The 23,809-nt window shown below is 44.4% G+C and overlaps 1 protein-coding gene and 2 pseudogenes across 1 annotated transcript; all 3 read right to left on the bottom strand.

Moving 5' to 3' along the window:
* Window positions 1-576: 576 nt before the first annotated feature.
* On the bottom strand, window positions 577-7,369 carry GEMIN6 (gem nuclear organelle associated protein 6). The gene is made up of 3 exons (NM_024775.10): window positions 7,298-7,369; window positions 6,461-6,607; window positions 577-4,062 (listed from the first exon to the last, which is right to left on the bottom strand). Exons 2-3 carry the CDS (start codon window positions 6,586-6,588, stop codon window positions 3,687-3,689), a joined length of 504 nt encoding a protein of 167 aa, NP_079051.9. The 5' UTR covers window positions 6,589-6,607; window positions 7,298-7,369; the 3' UTR covers window positions 577-3,686.
* NPLP1 (NPL pseudogene 1) lies at window positions 15,162-16,313 on the bottom strand (annotated as a pseudogene).
* Window positions 20,379-21,994, bottom strand: TTC39DP (tetratricopeptide repeat domain 39D, pseudogene; annotated as a pseudogene).

Here is a 23,809-nt window from a genome sequence, read left to right as displayed (position 1 = left end):
AACTTGGTGGAACTCCGTCTCTACTAAAAATACAAAAAATTAGCTGGGCGTAGTGGTCCACGCCTATACTCCCAGGTACTCAGGAGGCTGATGCAGGAGAATCACTTGAACCTGGGAGGCAGAGATTGCAGTGAGCTGAGATCGTGCCACTGCACTCCACCCTGGGAAACAGAGCAAGACTCCGTCTCAAAAAAAAAAATTAGCTGCATGGGTGGTGTGTGCCTGTAGTCCTAGTTACTCAGGAGGCTTAGGTGGGAGTATTGCTTGAGGCCAGGAGTTTGAGGCTGCAGTGAATTATAATCGCGCCACTGCACTCCAGCCTGGGTGACAGAGCAAGACCTTGACTCTTATAAAAAAAAAAAAAAAGGATTGTGAAATTTTCATCAATTCTCAGCAAATTAAAACAATTGATTGAATGTTTTAAATGTCACTTAAAAAAAACTAAGTGCATGGAAAAATCAACTTCAGTATCTTTAGAAGAAAAAAGTGGACTTAGGAAATCAGATGAAAAGGGGATGGTGAGAAATCAGTGCAAACAGTGGAAACTTTGCTTCCAAGGAGACAAAAAATACACAGTGGAAGTCGAAACAGACTTTTATTTTAAAAAGTATTCTTGATAATGTGTTCAAAGACTGCCCTGGCTACAGCCCAGGACTGGCAGTAAATACAACCAGCTTTGGGGAGGAATCTCCCTCTGGGGAATGTGGAATCACAGATGCTGACAGCCCAAAGGAGGCACTGGAAACAGGTGAGTGAAACTCCTGGGGAGAATCTTAGCTGAGGAATTAGCTAGGGAAACTCCCTAAGCATGAAGGTTTCTATGGCAGATCAGGATCACTTACCCTTTCAAGCACTCAGGTTTTGTTTGCAGGCAAATTGTTTACACAATCAGAGGACTCAGTTGCCAGGAAACAGTCAATGTCCCCAGCTCATTAGTCTGATGGCAAATAAATCTACCAATATCAAGGCACCGGGCCTGGTCCCTGAGCCAAGATCAAGTCCAATTGATGCTGTGGATAATTTCCTACGTGGCTTTTTTTTTTTTTTTGAGACAGAGTCTCGTTCTGCTGCCCAAGCTGGAATGCGTACAATCTCGGCTCACTGCAACCTCCACCTCCCAGATTCAAGCGAGTGCCTCAGCCTCCTGAGTAGCTGAGATTATAGGCGCTCACCACCACACCCAGCTATTTTTTTTTTTTTTAGTAGAGACAGGGTTTCACCATGTTGCCCAGGTTGGTCACAAATCCTGGCCTCAAGTGATCGGCCCGCCTAGGCCTCCCAAAGTGCTGGGATTACAGGCGTGAGCCACCGCGCCCAGCTGGCTTCTTCCTTTTCAAAGGCCTCCCTCATCTTGTCAGTCATTTCCTTGCTGACTTCAGTCTGTTCATATTCCCCTTCTATTTGCTTTCTGAAGACATCCAGGGTTTGAACAGGAGAGTCTTAGCCACTAGGAGAAAGGTGATGTGTGCTAAATTTTGCTTTCAGGATCATGGAACTTTGAAGCCGTGAGGGAGGAACTTTCTGTTCCCCTGAAGTTTCTGAACTGCTTCTGCAAGTGTGGTCTGGGAACGGTAACATCATTATCTGGGAGTCTGTTGGAAATGCAAATTCCTGGGTCCCAACTAGAACTACTGAATCAGAATCTGTTGGGAGGAGGGTCCAGCAATCTGTTTTGAAAAGCCCTGCAGCTGATTCTGATGCTTGCCAACATGCAGGAAGCACTGGACTATACCATCTTGTTATTAGACAACTATGCAGGAAAATAGCTGTGTTATCAGACTGTATTCAAAGGCCCTGAAACCTAAATATTTGCTGATTCTGATGCTTGCTAAAGTGCAAGAAGCACTGGGCTATACCATCTTGTTATTAGACAACTATGCAGGAAAATAGCTATGTTATCAGGGCCTGTATTCAAAGGCCCTGAAGCTTAAATATTTTAAAATATTTCTTACAGCTGGACATGGCAGCTCACACCTATATTCCCAGCACTTTGGGAGGCCAAGGTGGAAGGATCACTTGAACCCAGGAGTTGAAGACAAGCCTGGGCAACATATCAAGACCCTCTTTTAAAAAAAAAAAAAAAAAAAAAAAGCCAGGCACGGAGGCTCTCATGCCTATAATCCCAGCACTTTGGGAGGCCACGGCAGGCAGATCATGAGGTCAGGAGTTCAAGACCAGCCTGGTCAACATGGTGAAACCCTGTCTCTACTAAAAATACAAACATTAGCTGGGCATGGTGCTATGTGCCTGGTAATCCCAGCTACTGAGGGGGCTGAGGCAGGAGAATGGCTTGAACTCAGGAGGCAGAGGTTGCAGTGAGCCGAGATTGTGCCACTGCACTCCAGCCTGAGTGACAGAGCAAGACTCTGTCTCAAAAACAAACAAACAAACAAAAAACCCACAAAAAACAGCCGGGCACGGTGGCTCACACCTGTAATCCCAGAACTTTGGGAGGCCGAGGCGGGCGGATCACCTGAGGTCGGGAGTTTGAGACCAGCCTGACCAACATGGAAAAACCCCGTCTCTACTAAAAAAATACAAAATTAGTGGGGCGTGATGGTGCATGCCTGTAATACCAGCTACTCAGGAGGCTGAGGCAGGAGAATTGCTTGAACCTGGGAGGCAGAGGTTGTGGTAAGCCGAGATTGCACTATTACACTCCAGCCTGGGGAACAAGAGTGAAACTCCATCTCAAAAACCAAAACAAAAACTCCACAAAAAAACCAGAAAACTGTAATTCAATAGGTAATGCTGTGTTCCAATAATTTTTTTTTTTTTTTTTGAGACGGAGTCTCGCTCTGTCACCCAGGCTAGAGTGCAGTGGCGCGATCTCGGCTCACTGCAAGCTCTGCCTCCCGGGTTCATGCCATTCTCCTGCCTCAGCCTCCTGAGTAGCTGGGACTACAGGCACCTGCCACCACGCCCGGCTAATTTTTTTTGTATTTTTAGTAGAGAAGGGGTTTCACCGTGTTAGCCAGGATGGTCTCGATCTCCTGACCTCATGATCCACCTGCCTCGGCCTCCCAAAGTGCTGGGATTACAGGCGTGAGCCACCGCGCCCCACCAAGACACATCTTTTAAAAACAGACACATACAGTTAGTGAAGAGACTTAACAAGACCATGATCTTACCATAATATTTTATATTGAATCTAACATGTTACATTTTTTTCCAAATGCTTTTCTTGCCTAACAAAAATGGGGGTGTAACCCCATCACAAGAAAAGACCCATACAGGTGAAACCCCATCTCTACTAAAATACAAAAAATTAGCTGGGAGTGGTGGCGTGCACCTGTAGTCCCAGCTACTCGAGAGGCTGAGGCAGGGGAATCGGTTGAACCTGGGAGGCGGAGGTTGCACTGAGCTGAGATTGCGCCACTGCACTCAAACCTGGCAACAGAGCGAGACTCCATCTCAAAAAAAAAAGAAAAAAAGAAAAAAGAAGACCCATACAATTCTGATGTCCCTGTGCTAATTTTATGCATGGGATGCTATACTTGCCCTAGTTCATTAATTTCCCAAGGAAATTAGCACTTATAACCCACTCCTCTGATTTTACCAAAACAACAAAGAATTATACACACACACACATACACACACACAGTCATGTACATTTACATTTAAAACATTTTATGAGGGATAAAATATAGTCTTTTTCTATCAGTATGTTCACACTTCCTGGCCTCTCATTGGGAAGCTGTAAGATGTCCTTCAATAAGATCCTGAACACGCGACAGAATAATCTCATTAGAGCTGCTGCAATTTTCTGGACCATATGGTGGGTCTATAGTCAGGACCCCAGCCACACAGAGAGTCCTTGGAGCGTCTCCCTGTTCAGTGATGGGGATGTGGTTCTTCTCAAGCCATTTCTTTAGGCTGTTCTTTCTCTCTTCCAGATCCTCTGGGCTGTATGCTTTGCAGTCTCCAGACGTGAACAAATGCATCAGCTTCTCCCTCACTCTATGGTCCCCTTCATTCATAGTTTCAACAGTCTGCACAGCATGTCCCATAATTCCGGTCACAGACATGCTGCCATCTTCAAGGAAGTTCACAAGGACAATACTTTGGAGGAAAAGTAAGTTTAGAGGCATCATCAACCCAAGTAGGTCACTAAAATAATAGATGACACTCTACTCTGTTTGAAATTAATCCTGTCACCAATGAATGCTTCCATTTATTCAACAAACATTCACTAAGGATCCTAAATAGGTAAACTTTTTGCCCAGCCTACAGCCAATCATTGTGGGATACAGTTAAAGGATTAAACAAGTTATGAATGCCTTAAATGTGTATTAGAAAAGAAGGCAGGGTAGCCAGGCGCGGTGGCTCACGCCTGTAATCCCAGCACTTTGGGAGGCCGAGGCGGGTGGATCACGAGGTCAGGAGTTCAAGACCAACCTCTGGCCAAGATGGTGAAACCCAATCCCTACTAAAAATACAAATATTAGCTGGGTGTGGTGGCAGTCACCTGTAATCCCAGCTACTTGGGAGGCAGAGGCAGAGAATTGCTTGAACCTGGGAGGCAGAGGTTGCAGTGAGCCGAGATCATGCCACTGCACTCCAGCCTGAGCAAGACTCTGTCGTGGAAAAAAAAAAAAAAAGAAGAAGGCAGGGTAGACTTAACTTTTAGAGTTAAAAAAACAATAACTAGGCCGGGCATGGTGGCTCACGCCTGTAATCCCAGCACTTTGGGAGGACAAGGCGGGCAAATCACTTGAGGTAAGGAGTTCAAGGCCAGCCTGGCCAACATGGTGAAACCCCATCTCTACTAAAAATATAAAAATTAGCCGGGTGTGGTAGCACATGTCTATAATCCCAGCTACTTAGGAGGCTGAGGCAGGAGAATCACTTGAATCCGGGAGGCAGAGGTTGCAGTGAGCCGAGATCGAGCCATTGAACTCCAGCCTGGGCAACAGAGCAAGGCTCCATCTCAAAAAAAAAAGGTCAGGTGAGGTGGCTCACGCCTATAACCCCAACACTTTGGGAGGTCAGGTGGGTGGATTGCAAGGTCAGGAAATGGAGACCGTCCTGGCTAACATGGTGAAACCCCATCTCTACTAAAAATACACGCCTGTAATCCCAGCTACTTAGGAGCCTGAGGCAGGAGAATCACTTGAACTGGGAAGGTGGAGGTTGCAGTGAACTGAGATCACGCCACTGCACTCCAGCCTGGGCAACACAGCGAGACTCCATCTCAAAAAAAAAAGTTTTTGTGGTTACATTTATTTAAAGTCCTTATCTTTTTCTTTTTTTTTTTTTGAGACGGAGTCTTGCTCTGTCATCCAGGCTAGAGTGCAGTGGCGCGATCTCAGCTCACGGCAAGCTCTGCCTCCCAGCTTCACGCCATTCTCCTGCCCCAGCCTCCTGAGTAGCTGGGACTACAGGTGCCTGCTACCACGCCCGGCTAATTTTTTTTGTATTTTCAGTAGAGACGGGGTTTCACCATGTTAGCCAGGATGGTCTCGATCTCCTGACCTCGTGATCCACCCGCCTCGGCCTCCCAAAGTGCTGGGATTACAGGCGTGAGCCACCATGCCCGGCCTTAAAGTCCTTTTCTTTTAAGAGATATAGTGAAGTATTTATAAACAAAATTATAGGCTGGGGACGGTGGCTCAAGCCTATGATCCTAGCACTTTGGGAGGCCAAGGTGGGCAGATCACCTGAGGTCAGGAGTTTGAGACCAGCCTGGCCAACATAGCGAAACCCCGTCTCTACTAAAAATACAAAAAATTAGTGGGGCATGTTGGCACATGTGTGTAACCCCAGCTACTGGGGAGGCTGAGGCATGAGAATCACTTGAACCTGGGAGGCAGAAGTTGCAGTGAGCCAAGATTGTAACTGCACCACTCCAGCCTGGGCAACAGAGTGAGACTTCATCCCACCCCCGAAAAAAAAAAAAAAAAAAAAAAAAAAATATATATATATATATATATATATATATAGTAAGAATAATTTCTATGCCCAATTTCTATGAAGTTGCCTGGTCTGATAAGGTAATCCATAGTCAGAACAGCATTTAGATTCAAAGGCAGTTAAGTTCTCATATGTAGGCCGGGTACAGTGACTCAGCCTGTAATGCCAGCACTCTGTGACGCTAAGGTGGGCAGATCCTTGGAGATCAGGAGTTTGAGACCAACCTGGGCAACATGGCGAAGCCCCGTCTCCACAAAAAATACAAAAATTAGCCAGACGTGGTGGCAAATGCCTGTAGTCCCAGCTACTCGGGAGGCTAAGGCAGGAGAATCGCTTGAACCTGCGAGGTGGAGGTTACAAAGAGCCGAGATCTCGCCACTGCATTCCAGCCTGGGTGACAGTAGAACCCTGTCTCAAACAAACAAAAAATTCTTATATGAAAATATTAATAATTAGCTTTTCATTTATCTGCTTTCTTAGTTTGTCTATAACATACAGGCAGCACAAAGGGGTGTCAAGATTTCAGGCAAGTAGGATGCATACTCACTTGGCAGAGACTGGGTCTGTAGTTAAAACCCATCCTTTATACTCATTCTTCTCACTGGCTGTCACTCGGACCTCTTTGTAAATGTAATCTTGCCATTCTAAGGGGCCTTTCTTCATCCATTCACTCATGATTGCCACCTGGCTAAATCTGAAACAACCACCAGTGCTGGTTAATATATGTTCCACGTAAGCAAATGTCTTATCCCTAATCTCCATCCTATCCTAGAGACAGAGAACATCTGTGATTTGCCTCAAGTTCGTAATAAGTAACTTAATACAATTAAGTATTAATGCATGTACTGATAGGAACTGATACTATAGTTGGGGAAAAGAACACGTGTAAAGGCTGCTTGAGAATTTTTATCAGGAAAAGGAAAATAGTTAATATGTACAATTCGGCCTAAAGCAGAGGGGTCACCGATTTGCCGCGGGTGCAGTCTGAGGAAATTCATCTGGCACAGGTCTATTCCGATCCACAACCACATTCCAAATCGCTTTCACTCTGGCCTGCAGATGATGCTCAAACCCTTCAACTCTGCTTTTCCTTCCATCGATCAAAGGAGTTCACCCCACTCCTCAACTGAACCAGAAAACTCTCCTGATATCCACCCACGCGCTCTCTGGCTCTGTGTCTCCGCTGGATCCCGCCATCGAGAGGCTCCCCCGATTTATGACAACTGCCCCTTAAAATTTGTTTGAAGGATGCACAAACGAAGGGCCAGCGGCTACAGCTCTAGAGCTTAGATTTCTGGTCCTGTCCTGCAGCCACACGATACCTAACACTGTACTAAAAACCAAATGGTACTTAACGTTTAACCCTGACAAACGAGAAAAATACCAGTTAAAAAACTCCTCGCAACTCTGGGTACTCAGCAACCATGCTTTGAGGAAGGATCGTTGAGCGGAGACCGCCTGAGACCAGCATGCTTTGCGCCGATCGTCACTTCCTTCCCCCAGAAACCTCTGTTTTGTAGTCCTACTTGGAGGTCTGAGAGTCGCGGGACCTAGAGTGCAGGGTGCGGACAGAGTCTAAGATTGTTCTGTAATAATAATAATAATAATGAACCGCCATGTCCTCTAAGGCTATCCCTCTCCATTGCCACGACGGACAGTTCAAATAATCTTTTTTTCTTTAAAGAGGAAAAAGCGGCCGGGCGCGGTGGCTCACGCCTGTAATCCCAGCACTTTGGGATACCGAGGCGGGTGGATCAGGAGTTCGAAACCGGTCAGGAGTTCGAGACCAGCCTGGCCAACATGGTGAAACCCCGTCTCTACTAAAAATACCAAAAATTAGCCGGGCCTAGTGGCGGGCGCCTGTAATCCCAGCTACTCAGGAGGCTGAGACAGGAGAATCGCTTGAACCCGGGAGGCGGAGGTTGCAGTGTGCTGAGATCGCACCATTGCACTCCAGCCTAGGCAACAAGAGCGAAACTCCGTCTCAAAAAAATTAAAAATAAAAATAAATAAAGAGGAAAAAGCTCGTGCCAGGTCCTCAATGATAGTAGACTTGGAAATGCACTTTCGCCTTAGAATCAAAGCACATGAACCCTCAGAGTAAATCCTAAAGCTCTAGGAATGTGAGGTGAACGTGCCGTGGAGAAGAGCGATAGGGTTGCTACAGGAAAGGGGTCCTGATCCAGACCCCAGGAGAGAGTTGTTGGATCTCGCGCAAGAAAGAATTCAGAGCGAGTCCGCAGTGCAAAGCAAAAGCAAGTTTAGTAAGAAAGTAAAGTGGTGAAAGAACAGCTGCTCCATAGACAGAGTAGGATGTTCCCGAAAGTAAGAGGAAAGTGTCCACCCTAGATACAATAGTCCTATGTATGAGGAGATGCGCTCTGCTACAAGGGTTTATGATAAAGGATTAATTTTCTTAATTACTATATTTTTCAAGCATCAATACTATTATCTTTAAAGCAAAATTAGGAATGCCTTTGTTCTCCAGGTATTGCGATATCTGGACACTCCCAAGTCTGGGTCTGTTTAGTAAACTTTTTTTTTTTTTTTTTTTTTTTTGAGACAGAGTCTCACACTGTCACCCAGGTGGAGTGCAAAGGTGCGATCGAGGCTCACTGGAACCTCCACCTGCCGGCTTCAAGCGATTCTCGTGCCTCAGCCTCCCTAGTGGCTAGGATTACAGGCATGCACCACCACATCTGGCTAATTTTTGTATTTTTAGTAGAGACGGGTTTTTGCAATGTTGGCCAGACTGGTCTCAAACTCCTGACCTCAAGTGATCCGCCCGCCTCGGCTTCCCAAAATGCTGGGATTACAGGTGTGAGCCACCGCGCCCGGCGGTAAACGTTATTAATGTCTTCCCTTAACCGTAAACATCTAGAGGCTGGGAATGCCTAACTTTCTGAGAATGCAGACCAGCAAGTCCCAGCCTCATTTTCCTAGCCCTCACTCAAAACGGAGTCACTCTGGTTCCAACGCCTCTGACACGGCCAAGGTATTTCTTGTTTGCTTGGCTTGTATAGGCAATTAAAATGCCTGCTCCTTTGGGATGTGCCCTCAGTACAATCTTGAGAAAGGTGCAGAAGCTGGAAAGAAATGAACCAAACCGGGTTGAATTTTGTCTAGCAGATCACTCTCTATAAACCCCTCCAGTGGAAAAGTGCAAAAGACTTGCTTCTGCTACGGATTTCTGGTCACGCACTTAACTGGCTTCTGGCATGATCCAGAATCTTTTTTAGGACTGAAAAACGGTACAAGGTGGTAAACGCTGAATTCCTGGAAATGTAAAAACCAAGGGAGATTTACAAAAACCAAATGAAAACACTATTAAACAAAGGTGTAGAAAACATCAAAAATGTATCAGCTTTTTCCTTACTCCTTGAGATTTAGGTTCCATATAATCTTCAAAGTATATTTTCTTATTGTCATCATTTGAATCTTTCCCATAGCCTTTATTCGTTGCATGATTGGCTGATTATATTAATGTAGTTTTAGTGGATTCTTAGATTTTGCTGGTTAAAGCCCTCTGTAAATCTACTAAGAGCTCATATAAGTGCCAATTGTTATCACAGTGTGAAGGAAAACACTTGAACTCGTAAAAATTCAGTCCAAAAGAGTTACAACCAACATGTCACAAACTGTTCATTTTCTTTTCTTTTTTTTTTTAGCGAGACTCCGTCTCGCTCTATCACCAGGCTGGAGTGCAATGGCACGATCTCAGCTCACTGCAACTTCCGCCTCCTGGGTTCAAGTGATTCTCCTGCCTCAGCGTCCTGACTAGCTGGGACTACAGGCGCCTGTCACCATGCCCAGCTAATTTTTGTATTTTTTTAGTACAGAAGGGGTTTCACCATGTTGGCCGGGATGGTCTCGATCTCTTGACCTTGTGATCTGCCTGCCTCGGCATCCCAAAATGCTGGGACTACAGGCGTGAGCCACCGTGCCCCGCCAACAAACTGTACATTTTCATTTTAAGCTATAATCTATACTCCATACTCCAGAACGAAAGACTTTGGCCTTTGTGCGTGTGTGTGTGTGTGTATTCTACAAGTAGAAACTAGTGTCAAGGTAAACTTCAGTTACTCCCCATCCTTTTTTTGTTTTGTTTTTGGTTTTGGTTTTGAGACAGGGTCTCATTCTTTCTTCCAGGGTGAAGTGCAGTGCAAGGATCATGATTCACTGCAGACTGGATTTCCTGGGTTCAAGCGATCCTCCTGTCCCAGCTTCCAGAGTAACAGGGACTACAGGCATGTGCCACCATGCCCTCCCTGCTAATGTTTTTCTGTTTGTTTGTTTGTTTGTTTTAATTTTTGGTAGAGACAAGTTCTTGCCATGTTGCCGAGGATGGTCTCTTAACTCCTGAGCTCAAGCGAGCTCAAGCGATCCTCCTGCCTCGGCCTCGCAAGCTGCTGGGATTACAGGCATGAGTCACCCTGCCTGGCCAGTTACCCTTTTTAAGGTGATGAGACTGGGGCAATTTCCCTACCTTTTTGCCCCTTTAGCCTCCTAAGTAAAATTCTCGGGAACTGCTGATGCAAATCACTGACTTCTAAGAGACTGTTGCCCAGCCCACTTCCTAATACAAGTTCTCAGAATGGCCCTCTCCTGTAGCTGGTTGTCACTGAGTTCAAATGGTGCCACCTCCTTTCCTAGGTCAGCCCTTACCCTTGGTCCCCCTAGAGCCTCTCCCACTCCAGTTGGTGTCCCTCTCCTCACATTGTCTTCTTTTCTACTTCTCCTCTATCTCCTTCCAAAGGTTTGCCTGCCTCACCCTCAAACCCACAAACACACACATACCTTTCTCTGCCAAATCCAAAATGACTTATTTTATTTTATTTATTTATTATTGTTATTATTTTACACAGTCTTACTCTGTCATGCAGGCTGGAGTGTAGTGGCGCCACTCGGCTCATTGCAGCCTTGATCTCCCAGGATCAAGCAATCCTCGTGCCTTGGCCTCCCAAGTAGTTGGGACTACAGGAATGCTCCACCATGCCTGGGTAATTTTTTGTAGAGACAGGGTCTCACTGTGTTGCTACACTGGTCTTGAACTCCTGGGCTCAAACAATCTGCCAGCCTTGGCCTCTCAAACTACTAGGATTACAGGGGTGAGACACAGTACCCAGCCACTTCTTTAACAAACTTCTGTTTGTTAGAACTTGTGCCAGGCACTATTCTAATTACTTTCAAACATTCACTCATTTGGTGAATGAGTAAATAGGCTATAGACAATGGAGAAATTTTGATATATGGAGTGGCATGATTCAATTAGTATATTAGAAAGGATTAGAATCAGTAAATAAGCTACAGAGAATGGGGAAATTTTGATTTATGGGATGATGATATGATTAAATTAGCATATTAGAAAGGATGCTGAGAAATTGGATATGGGGAAAATAGTGAAGTATAGAGCAGCTACACCATGAGACATTATGTAAAATATACTTTCCTGCTTAGACCAATAGTATTACGAAAAAGACTCCAGAACAACCATCTCTCTAATAGAAAATCCAGGCCGGGCATGGTGGCTCACGCCTGTAATCCCAAGACTTTGGGAGGCCAAGGTGGGAGGATTACAAGGTCAGGAGTTCAAGACCAGCCTGATCAATATGATGAAACCCCATCTCTACTAAAAATACAAAAATTAGCCAGGCATGGTGACTTGAGCCTGTAATCCCAGCTACTCAGGAGGCTGATGCAGGAGAATCACTTGAACCCGGGTGGTGGAGGTTGCAGTGAGCTGAGATCGCACTACTGTACTCCAGTCTGGGCGACAGAGAAAGATTCCATCTCAAAAAAAAAAAAAAAGAAAGAAAAAGAAAGAAAGAGAGAAAGAAAGAAAGAAAGAAAGAAAGAAAGAAAGAAAGAAAGAAAGAAAGAAAGAGAAAGAAAGAAAGAGAAAGAAAGAAGAAAATCCAATTTTAGGCTGGGAGAGGTGGCTTATGACTACAATCCCAGCACTTTGGGAGGCCGAGGCCAGTGGATCGCTTGAGGTCAGGAGTTGGAGACCAGCCTGGCCAACATGGTGGAACCCCATCTCTACTAAAAATACAAAAAATTAGCCGGATGTGGTGGTGCGCACCTGTAGTCCCAGCTGCTCAGGAGGCCAAGGAACCAAGAATCGCTTGAACCTGGGAGGCAGAGGTTGCAGTAAGCTGAGACTGCACCACTGCACTCCAGCCTGGGCGACAGGGCAAGACATTGAAAAAAAAGAAAGAACGAAGGGAGGGAGGGAGGGAGGGAGGGAGGGAGGCAGGAAGGAAGGAAGGAAGGAAGGAAGGAAGGAAGGAAGGAAGGAAGGAAGGAAAGATCCAATTTTAGAGAGGGTGTCTCCAAATTGATTGTTGTAATCTGCCCTGCCCAGAGGGAAGGTTTTACAGCCTCAGAGAGGGAGGATTGGTTTCCCTAGCAGTAAATTGGAGGTAAGATTGTTTTCCAAGCATGAAAATGCTTTGGTTGGGTGTGGTGGCTCACTCCTGTAATCCCAGCACTTTGAGAGACTGAGGCGGGAGGATTGCTTGAGATCAGGAGTTCAAGACCAGCCTGGCCAACATGGCGAAACCCCATTTCTACTAAAAATACAAAAATGAGCCAGGTGTGATGGTGCGCATCTGTGGTCCCAGCTACTTGGGTGGCTGAGGCAGGAGAATCACTTGAACCCAGGAGGGGTAGGGTGCAAGGAGCCAAGATCACGCCACTGCACTCCAGCCTGGGTGACAGAGCGAGACTCCATCTCAAAAAAAAAGAAAAAAAAATCATCTGTTCAATGGAAATGTTAAGAAAAAAAGAGAAAGAAGGAAAAAGTGCTTCAATAGCACTATATCTGTGTTTATGTACAGGAAAGTGACAGTGAGGTACCTTCTCCAAGCTCTAATAAACTGGCGCTAAAAATTAAACTGAATGGACGTGAGCACTTCACTGGGTGCAGTGGCTCACACCCGTGATCCCAACACTTTGTCAAGACCCTGTCTAAAAGAAAAAACACAGCATACACCAAATTTTGTTAGAAAAGAGATTAAGGGCCGGGCGCGGTGGCCCAGACTGTAATCCCAGCACTTTGAGAGGCCGAGGCAGGTGGATCATCTAAGGTCAAGAGTTGGGGCATGGTGGTGGGCACCTGTAATCCCAGGTACTCGGGAGACTGAGGCAGGAGAATTGCTTGAACCCGGGAGGCGGAGGTTGCAGTGAGCCAAGATCGGGCCACTGCACTCCAGCCTGGCAACAGAGCGAGACTCCATCTCAAAAAAAAAAAAAAAAGAAAAAGAAAACAGCTCTCTTTCTAATGAGAGAGAGAGGATTTCCAAGAGGAAAAGGCCCTCAAGAGCCCTTTGGAATTTGAAACTTTGAGCTTTGAGAAGTTTCCTACATTGCAGGAAGTGGAAACTTAAATTCATCTTTGCAGAAGGTCTTTGCTTTGTTGTGAGAAAAGACCTTTTAGTTATAGAACTAAAGCAAGTCCTCATCTAACTCTAATGTTGAAACCGCCCCTATAAACTTTATAAGATTAATCGGGGAAGAAATGAGGGGAAGAAACAAAACTAAACCAAGTTTGCAGCACATTCAGCATTAATCCTGAGGTCAGCTTGCTCCCTGACCTGTTTCCTCATAGTTGTTTGGTGCCTATTATCCTAGGATCATGTAGACCCCGTTAGAAGATTTTAGTTCCCCTTAACTGCTCTAGAGATAACTTGAACATTACTAAAGGGTTTCCCTTTGAGACATGCCTTTAGATCCCACATACTGGTAAAACTCCTATGCCAGCTGATCTGCAGGACCTCGCTGATGCCAGCTGGTCTGAGGGACCTCACAAAAAGCTGATTCACCAAAGAATGCAGTTTCCACATCCTGATGATTTCATCCCCTTTGCCCCGACCAGTTGATAACCCCAAATTTCTGGCCCCTTGCCCTACATGATAGCCTTTAAAACCCAAACCCAAGGCTGGGCATGGTGGCTCACGCCTGTAATCCCAGCACTCTGGGAGGCTGAGACAGGTGGATCACTTGAGGTCAGGAGTTCGAGATCAGCCTGGCCAGCATGGCAAAACCCCGTCTCTACTAAAAATACAAAAAATTAGCCAGGCGTAGTGTGGGACGCCTGTAATTCCAGCTACTCGGGAGGCAGAGGCAGGAGAATCTCTTGAACCTGGGAGGCAGAGGTTGCAGTGAGCCGAGATCGTGCCATTGCACTCCAGCCTGGGCAACAAAAGCAAAACTCAGTTTCAAAAAAAAAAAAAAAAAAAACAAGGCCGGGCGTGGTGGCTCACGCCTGTAATCCCAGCACTTTGGGAGGCCGAGGCGGGCGGATCACGAGGTCAGGAGATCGAGATCATCCTAGCTAACGCGGTGAAACCCCGTCTTTACTAAAAATACAAAAAATTAGCCGGGCATGGTGGCGGGCGCCTGTAGTCCCAGCTACTCGGGAGGCTGAGGCAGGAGAATGGAGTGAACCCGGGAGGCGGAGCTTGCAGTGAGCCGAGATCGCACCACTGCACTCCAGCCTGGGCGACAGAGCGAGACTCCGTCTCAAAAAAAAAAAAAAAAAAAAAACCCAAGCTCAGAACTCCTTGGATAGATGGGTTTGAAAATCTCCTCCCGTCTCCTCATCTCCTCAGTTGGCACCCTGCCATCATTAAACTCTCTGCCACATCCCTGATGTCTCAGTGTAATGGATCTGTTACTGTGCAGTGGGCATACAAACCTATTGGTCCTGTAACAGTGTATTGGGAGAAAACAGTGATATTGCAATTAATCTGAAAGCATGTGCTCTAGAGTTAGACTGAACAGCCAAATGAGCTGGTGCATTCATAGTTGTATATAGTTCAGTCATGTTATAATTTGGTTTTAAAGTACCTGTCTAAATGCTGTAGCTCAGTGTTACCTAGATACCAAATGGATATTTATTAAAATGAAATTACATTCCCCCACCACCACCACCAAAAAAAGTATTGTACATTATAGTGGTTTAAAATTAGAAAACTTTCTTTTTTGAGAGACTGGGTCTCACACTGTCACCCAGGCTGGAGTGCAATGGTATAATCATAGCTCACTTGCAGCCTCAAGCTCCTGGGCTCAACTGTTCTTCCCACCTCAGCCACTCAAGTAGCTGGGACCACAGGCGTGCACCACTACGTCCAGTAGAAAACTTTAAAATCAGATTAAGAACTAGAAATCAAGATAACTGTAATTGATTAATTCCAGCTCCCAAAAGCAGCCTCCCAAAGTGTTAGGATTACAGGCATGAGCCACCATGCCCGGCCTAAAATAAACCTTTTTAAGGCTCATAGTAAGTACTTAAATATCTGTTGATTGAAGTGAGATTTCATTTGCTAGGAGAGAGTTCAGTTCAAGTTTTTCTAAAAAGTCCCTGAGAAAAGAATGCACTATTTAGGGCAGACTATGTCTTAATGCACACAGCCTGATTGGATAGACAGGCACTGGCTATAGGCTTCCAAGTTTCCATCTTTTAAGCCAGTGAAAGAAAAAAATCCAAGCTTTTTAGTTTGGCTTCAGCACTATCAGTAAACTCCCTAGAGCCTTTCTGCAGCGGAAGATGGGGTGGGCCCACTTCCACTGCAGGGACCAGAGTCATGATGGCTTTGATCTGTGACACTAGAAAACCTAGTTTGACTAAAAAGTTTATAAATCTGTCGATATAAATCTGCCCACTGCTCCAGTTGCTCCCATCACCAGAGCACTCAACAGTTGCTCATCCACCCTCAAAAGGAAGGTCAACTATTGCTGGCGATTCTGATCAACACATTGCCTGAAGTCTAAGATCTGTGTCACTGAATTTCAGCCTTTAGAAAGTGGGGCTCTTGGCCGGCCACACTGGCTCACACCTGTAATCCCAGCAATTTGGGGGCCAAGGCAGGCAGATCACTTGAGCTCAGGAGTTCAAGACCAGCCTGGGCAACATGGTGAAACCCCATCCCCTCAAAAAATACAAAATTTTGTCTGGGTGTGGAGGCACATGCCTGTAGTCCCAGCTACTCTTGAGGCTGAGGTGGGAAGATTGCTTGAGCCCAGGAGGCAGAGGTCACAGTGAGCCATGATGGTGCCACTGCACTCCAGCCTGGGCGAGAGCCAGACTCTGTCTCCACAAAAAAAAAAAAAAAAAGAAAAGAAAAAAAAAGTAAGTGGGGCTCTTATGCTGAATCTCATCAAACAGCTTCTCAGCACAAATCTTCACCCCTGTCAAGGCAGGAATGTGATAGTAATAAAATGCAGGGGTAGCAGCAGCTGCCTCTATTAGAAAATTAATCAGAGCATCTTTGTTTCATGGTTTGAAAAGAAAGGGGCAGGGACAGCAATGCTATTGGCTTCTATTTCTTTGGCATGTTGGGCCAGTTCTCATGATTCTTTCAAGCTCAGTACTCCTATATGAATCACTACCTGATCCAACATTTACCAGTTTATTATAAACAATATTATAAAGGATACATATGAAGAAATGTATATGGGGGGCCAGGCCCAGTGGCTGACACCTGTAATCCCAGCAATTTGGGAGGCCAAGGTGGGTGGATCACCTGAGGTCAGGGGTTCAAGACTAGCCTGGCCAACATGGTGAAACCCCATCTATACAGAAAATACAAAAATGAGCCGGGCGCGGTGGTGTGCGCCTGTAGTCCCAACTACTTGAGAGATTAAAGCAAGAGAATGACTTGAACCTGAGAGGTGGAGGTTGCAGTGAACCAAGATCATGCCATTGTACTCCAGCCTAGGCAATAAGAGTGAAACTCTGTCTCAAAAAAAAAAAAAGAAAAAAATGCATATGGGGGATGGGACGTGGAGTGTCTGTGCCTTCCCTGGGTGCACCACCCTCCAGGAATCTCTGTGTGTTCAGCTATCTGGAAACTCCGCCTACTACCCTTTTAATTTTATTGTGTTTTTCATTTTTTGAGACGGAGTCTTGCTTTGTTGCCAGGCTGGAATGCAGTGGCGCCATCTCAGCTTATTGCAAACTTCGCCTCCCAGGTTCAAGCGATTCTCCTGCCTCAGCCTCCCAAGTAGCTGGGATCACAGGCGCCCGGCACCACAGCCGGCTAATTTTTTGTATTTTTAGTAGAGACGGAGTTTTGCCATGTTGGCCAAGCTCTTCTCGAAGTCCTGACCTCAAGTGATCCAGCTGCCTAGGCCTCCCAAAGTGCTGGGATTACAGATGTAAGCCACTGCGCCCGACCTACTACCCTTTTTAACTGTGTCCCTTGATACCACTTGGTAGCTTATTATTATTGACAGATATGTTTTGGCAGCTGCTGAATGTAGCTTGGTTCACTTAACCATTTCCCACAGCCTTCTTATGAGGCTTCAAAGCTGAAAATCTTCAGTTTCGCTTGCAGGTAGGACTGGCCATATGAATACCTCTAGCCAATGAGATACACATGGAAGTCTCTAAGAAGGCCATCCCTTCTGGAATAAAAAAGGCAATACCTCCTAGGAAGGAGAAAGATCTTTTTGTCTCTTTACCATTCTTCCTTCAGCCTGCCTGGCTTGGACATAAGGCCTGGAGGTGAGGCAGCCTCTTTCCATCATGAGGAGACATTCATGAGAAGACTTACATGCTAAGTAGAAAGATAAAAGAAAAATCAGAAAAGCCATGAACTATCACACCTGAACTACCTACCTTCAGATTTCTTTTGTTTGGGACAAATTAATGCCTGTCTAATCCCTGTGTTTTGAGCGTTTCCACCCAAACGAAACCCTTTTCTTTGCTTTTCTTTGAGACAGGGTCTCACTCTGTCGCCCAGGCTGGAGTGCAGTGGTGCAATCTTGGCTCACTGCAACCTCCGCTTTGCTGGTTCAAGTGATTCTCATGCCTCTGTGTCCCCAGTAACTGGGATTACAGGCGAGCACCACCATGCCCGGCTAATTTTTGTATTTTTAGTAGAGATGGAGTTTCGCCATGTTGGCCAGGCTGGTCTCAAACTCTTGACCTCAAGTGATCCACCCACCTTGGCCTCCCAAAGTGCTGGGATTACAGGCGTGAGCCACCGTGCCTGGCCAAACAAAACCCTTTTCTAACTTATCTCCCTAATAAGGCCGTCAGGAGAGAAACCATACTTCATATCCTCAGCACTGTTCAGTACCTGCATACAGTGGGCATTCAATACATATTTCTTTAACCAATTAATAAATGTGCTCTTCATTGGAAGAAGTTGAAATACTTTACAAAACACAAAAACATTATTTAGGCAGAGAGTTTCTTGTTTCATAAGTAACCAAAATAAACAGAACAGAAAAAGTAAATTAACAGGTCAAATTTCAGATTGCCAAAGCAAGTAACAACAGGACCTATGCTTTTTCAAAGAAAGTTCCCTCCACTGCAGAACAATGTAGTAGTAGTAGTAGTAGTAGTAGTAATGATAATAATAAATGTTTATTAGCTCGATCTTAACATAGCAAAACCACAAGACAGATACTATTATTATCCCTATTCTATAGCCAAGGAATCTGAGATACAGAGGCCCAAGGCCACACACAGCTAGTTAGTGGCAGAACTAGGATACAAATTCAGGTAATCAGGCCAGAACCTGCCCTCTTAACCACTATAACCATACTAATTAAATAACAAAGAATAACTCAAGCACAATTATTCACTTCAAAGTCTATTTTTAATTTACGAGGAAAATGTTTTTAAAAGTAAACACTGCTAAATCTTGAAATACCAGTTCCTCATCTTGTTTTAGTTGGTTGTTTGGATACCCAAAGTATTAAGGTAGCATGTTTCATTGATGTGTTTTTAGTAAGCTACGATATTCTAGCAACTTCTGTTTTTTTTTTTTTTTTTTTTTTTTTTTTTTTTTGAGACAGAGTCTCGCTCTGTCGCCCAGGCTGGAGGGCAGTGGCGTGATCTCCACTCACTGCAAGCTCTGCCTCCCGGGTTCACACCATTCTCCTGTCTCAGCCTCCCAAGTAGCTGGGGCTACAGGTGCCCGCCACCATGCCCGGCTAATTTTTTTGTATTTTTTAGTAGGGACGGTTTCACCGTGTTTGCCAGGATGGTCTCAATCTCCTGACCTCGTGATCCCCCCGCCTCGGCCTCCCAAAGTGCTGGGATTACAGGCGTGAGCCACCATGCCCGGCGCAACTTCTGTTTCAAAGGGTGACTACCAGGAAGACACACTTAGCCAGACTTAATGACCAGGAAATTAGGTCATTTTTCAATCCCTAAGGCAAGTAAAATAATACCAAGCCCCATCCCTACAGCTACTATTTACTCTCAGATTGACCCACTCACAATGGATGGATGCAATCGGTTTAATTATATTGAAGAGCTGGTCTTATTAAGAATTACACCATAGGGAGGACAACTAAAGGGAGGGTTACATGGTAACAAAACTCTTCCTCTGACAGCCAGTGCATCTATCCTCTTGGCCTCTCCCAGTTATCTTCAAAGAATTTATGTGTGTGTAAAATAAGGAGAGGGCTTTCTTCTCTATCCTGTGGCAAATTATAAACTCACATTCTGCTTCTTACTAAAAAAGGGTAAGAAATACTACTGATCACACAGGGCGGACAAGACCCTCTGGTATAAAAAGCCAATAAAAATGATTGTGTATAAGGGAAAATCATTCAGAGTCTGTGCCATTCAGTGCATCATTGTTTGGAAATTTGTCTTTTTTTTTAATTTTTTAATTCTTCGCTAAGACAGCGGAAGAGGTGATTTATTGCATGCTTGTTTTTTATGCTCAGCCACAAGTGAACACAGAAATAGTCCAGAATGTAACAGGTCCAGGGCAAAGAACCATCATGGGCTGTTTTGGTTACAAGCAAGGTGGGTCTCAGAGGTGCTTTCCGTGATCAGATGGTGATGGAAGCTCTAGATCCACTTAGACAGCAGCATGCAGTCCAACAACTTGTACCAGCATCTCCAGCCTCTGGCATTCCATGTTTCTGGGTACACAAGCTACTGGTTGACTTGGACGTCTGCCTCATCTTTCTTCCTTTGCACTTCAGCCTGTGCATTCACGTCTTCCTCCACTTGGTTCTCATGGCATAGAGGTTTCCAAGAAGACGGCACTAATGCCGAGAGAAAAACAATTAAATAAAAATATGTATAGGGCACTGGGATCCCTAGCATAGTGAGTTGTATACATTATCTAGTGAGATGTTAAAAATGTTTTTGAGGTTTTGAAAATGTTCTCTAACATAATTGACAAATTTATAACATAGGAGAGAATTTTTTTAAATGTACTTCATTTGCCTTTTCTTTTTCAAGAATGTGCTTCACCTCATTTGCCTCTAAGACATCGCATTTTATAAGTGTGAGAAAGAAAGAGGGAAAAGTCATGGCCCATTCCTTTCTCGTTACTGATCAGATTCTTGGCAGCCGCCTCTTGGATTTTTTCCCACAAAGATATGATTTTTCTACTACCTGTTAATGACTTGCTCACTGTAGATATTTCACTTACACTAAACAAAACCACACTTTGTGTTTAAGTCATTTTTTCTTTGGCTATTTGTTCAAGTGCTATGTGGGTCCTAAAGTGTAATCGGGCTTCCATGGAATAGTCTTTGTAATTTCTTACATTGTCTAGGTTTTTTGTTGCTCTGGCATAGTCTCCTTTTAGATAGTGCAAGATTCCCAGTTCATAGTAAGTATATGGCACCAAATAGTGGTCATATTTTAATAATTTCTCCTTTTGAATGACACGATTAAAGTAATACTCAGCCTTTGAATATTTGCCTAAGTGTTTCAGGCATAGGCCTTTCAGTAAATTTAATAAACTTATGTCATCTGTGCCATACTCTTTATGTGGATTTTCTTGTAAAAGATCTTCTCCTTTGTCAATTATTGATAGCCAGCTTGAAATAAGCTCATTCTTTTTGCTCATGACTCGGAAACCACTCCAGGCATAAATGAACTCCAGAAGGGGCTGGGCTGTAAACCAGCCGATTGTAGTACCATAGCGCTGACCCTTCTCTGCAACAAACTTCTCTATTGGCACAGAACTGCCTAAAAATTACTTTTCAGGCTTTCCACTTTTAAGAAGAGAGAGTTCATATTCTCACTTGCTGATTTCACAAAATCGGAAGGAAGCAAAGCCAGGATGATGGCTTTACTGTACATGTATATTGCCTTGGACCATCTGCTGTGTTGAGACAGTAGATTGGCATAGTGGTAAGCCTGCCTCCAATCCTGCAGTAAAATGTGGCACCACATGAATTCCCAGTAACAGAGGTGATGAACCTGCTTCCATTCACTCTGAGTAAAAATGCACTCCTGTAATTTTAGCTGTGCATTTTCAAAATCTCCTTTCAACATACTAGAACGTGCATGGAAAAATTTAAATATGACACAGTTCGGAAATTTCTTGAGGTAGACTAGGAAGAGATCCTCTGTAGCAGAATTGTAAACCTTTTCAACACCAAAAGCTACATAGATATAATTGTAATAAAAGAGTAGAGTCAAAAGACTTAAGATATTATTTATATGGGTTTCAGATGCACTCTCATGAAGCAAAGCCAAGCCCACTTCTCTATCACCAGAATATCCAAAAATATTGAGTAGTTTAAGTATCCTTGGTGGCATAAGTGATAACATCAGATTGAATGCTCCAAGTCCAAATTTTATACCTCCAACCAGGTGTTTGTGGGCTTTGCTTTGGTTGTCAGGTATCTGTGTTAATACTTGTTGACAGTCTTTGTATATTTGGTAACTTAACCCAACACCGATCTCTCTTTTAAGAAAAGCAAGCATGCTTTCATCCTGTATACATGACGTAAAGGATTTCAAGATCAAACACTCAGCATAACAGACTTCTGTGTGCAATTCCTCTTCTGTGATAGCTGTTATTCCCTGTCTACTTACTAGATGAGACAATGTCATTTTAGTTTTTTTTCAGAAATTACCACAGGTTTTCAAAGCGTCCTTTGCAGCCATCATTCCAATCTGTAAATCCTGTGGCTCAAAAGTCAGGACGGCCTTGACAACCATAAGGATACCATACATTAGGGAATGGTACATGCTGTTTTTAGACCATGGATGAATGAGATTTATTGCATCTGAGAATCTGTTATTTAGAAATAAATACAATCCAATGGTACATTCTTCCAAGGAAGATGGTAGATTCATTGTTGTTGCCATAGGGATACTTTCACAGGCATCTTCAAACTCGTCCTCCTGATTACTTTTTATTTTATTTAGAGTGACATATTTGTTTCCCCACTTACAGATGAGAAATATCTGAAGTGGAAGTGGAGTGACGTGGTTGTAATGAGGGTAGCTCCTCATCTCCTGATTGAGGTCACTTCCTCCACACAAAGCTCAGTCTGAGGTGTTGCTGTTAAAATAGAGGCAAACAACCAGCTGTAAGGTGCAGCATTAGGATATTATCATCTATGTCAGACAATTGGGGAACAAAAAAAATTGTAGTTACCCAGAAGATGCATTTCTGAAAAGTTCAAATCATCTGGAATGTACTAAACAAAACATGCTTTTTAAAAAATTTCTAAATTTAACTATAGATGAGGAAAAAATGCTTTTTTAAAAACACTATAGGCCGAGCACGGTGGCTCACGCCTGTAATCCCAGCACTTTGGGAGGCCAAAGCGGGCGGATCACCTGAGGTCAGGAGTTCAAGACCAGCCTGGCCAACATGGTGAAACCCCGTCTCTACTAAAAATACAAAAAAAAATTAGCCGGGCGCGGTGGCGGGCACCTGTAATCCCAGCTACTCAGGAGGCTGAGGCAGGAGAATCACTTGAACCTGGGAGGTGGAGGTTGCAGTGAGCCGAGATCGTGCCATTGCACTCCAGCCTGGGGGACAAGAGTGAGATTTCGTCTCAAAAAAATAAATAAATAAATAAAAAACTGCAAAGTAAATCCTTTGTAAGCAAAAGAATTCTTTTGTAACCATTCCTCCAACATATCAATTTCATAAGATCAAGTTTTCTATATTTGTGTTGTAGAACTGTACTGTGATAGCCGTAAAATTTCTCTATGGGAAGGCCTTGGGGGACAAGAATCTGGCCAGAAAAGGGAATGTATTTATGTAGCTCTCTATTTTTCTTTTCTTTTTTGAGACACAGTCTTGCCCTGTTGCCTAGGATGAAGTGCAGTGGTGCGATCTCAGCTCACTACAACGTCTGCCTCACAAATTCAGGAGATCCTCCCACCTCATCCTCTCAAATAGCTGGGACTATAGGCATGCACCACCACACCCAGCTACCTTTTTTTTTTTTTTTTTTTGGATTTTTTGTAGAGATGAAGTTTTGCCATGTTGCCCAGGCTAGTCTCGAATTCCTGGGCTCAAGTGATCCACATGCATCTGCCTCCCAAAGTGTTGGGATTACAGTCATGAGCCACTGGGCCTGGCCTAAAACTAACTTTTAATGAAATGAAACGTTATGGTCAGTTATATAGAACTTTGGACATGGAGAGAGTTGTGTAAACCTAGAAAGATTTCCTAGCATTGTTCCTGTTAGAAAAAAGAAATTCAGACTTGGTGCAGTGGCTCACGCCTCTAATCCCAGCACTCTGGGGAAGCCGAGATGGGCAGATCACGAAGTCAGGAGTTTGAGATCAGCCTGGCCAACATGGCAAAACCTTGTCTCTACTAAAAATACAAAAATTAACCAGGCATGGTGGCGGGTGCCTGTAATCCCAGCTACTCGGGAGGCTGAGGAAGAAGAGTCTCTTGAACTCGGGAGGCGGAGGTTGCAGTGAGCCGAGATTATGCCATTGCACTCCAGTGTGGGCAACAAGAGCAAGACTCCGTCACAAAAAAAAAAAAAGAAAAAAGAAATTCCAATGTTAATAGTTGTTATCACAGCATTAATATAGTATTTGGTAGGAAATCTTTTTTTTCTACTAGGAGTCATTTAATACCTGGAAACTGGGGAGGGAGTGGGTACAATGGAAGGCCAATTACAAATAGCAAGCTGGGATTACAGG

Source organism: Homo sapiens, chromosome 2 (assembly GCF_000001405.40).
Source record: "Homo sapiens chromosome 2, GRCh38.p14 Primary Assembly".
Taxonomy (NCBI): Eukaryota; Metazoa; Chordata; class Mammalia; order Primates; family Hominidae; genus Homo; species Homo sapiens.
The sequence above is the reverse complement of the archived record's forward strand: the minus strand, read 5'-3'. Positions and strand labels throughout refer to the sequence as shown.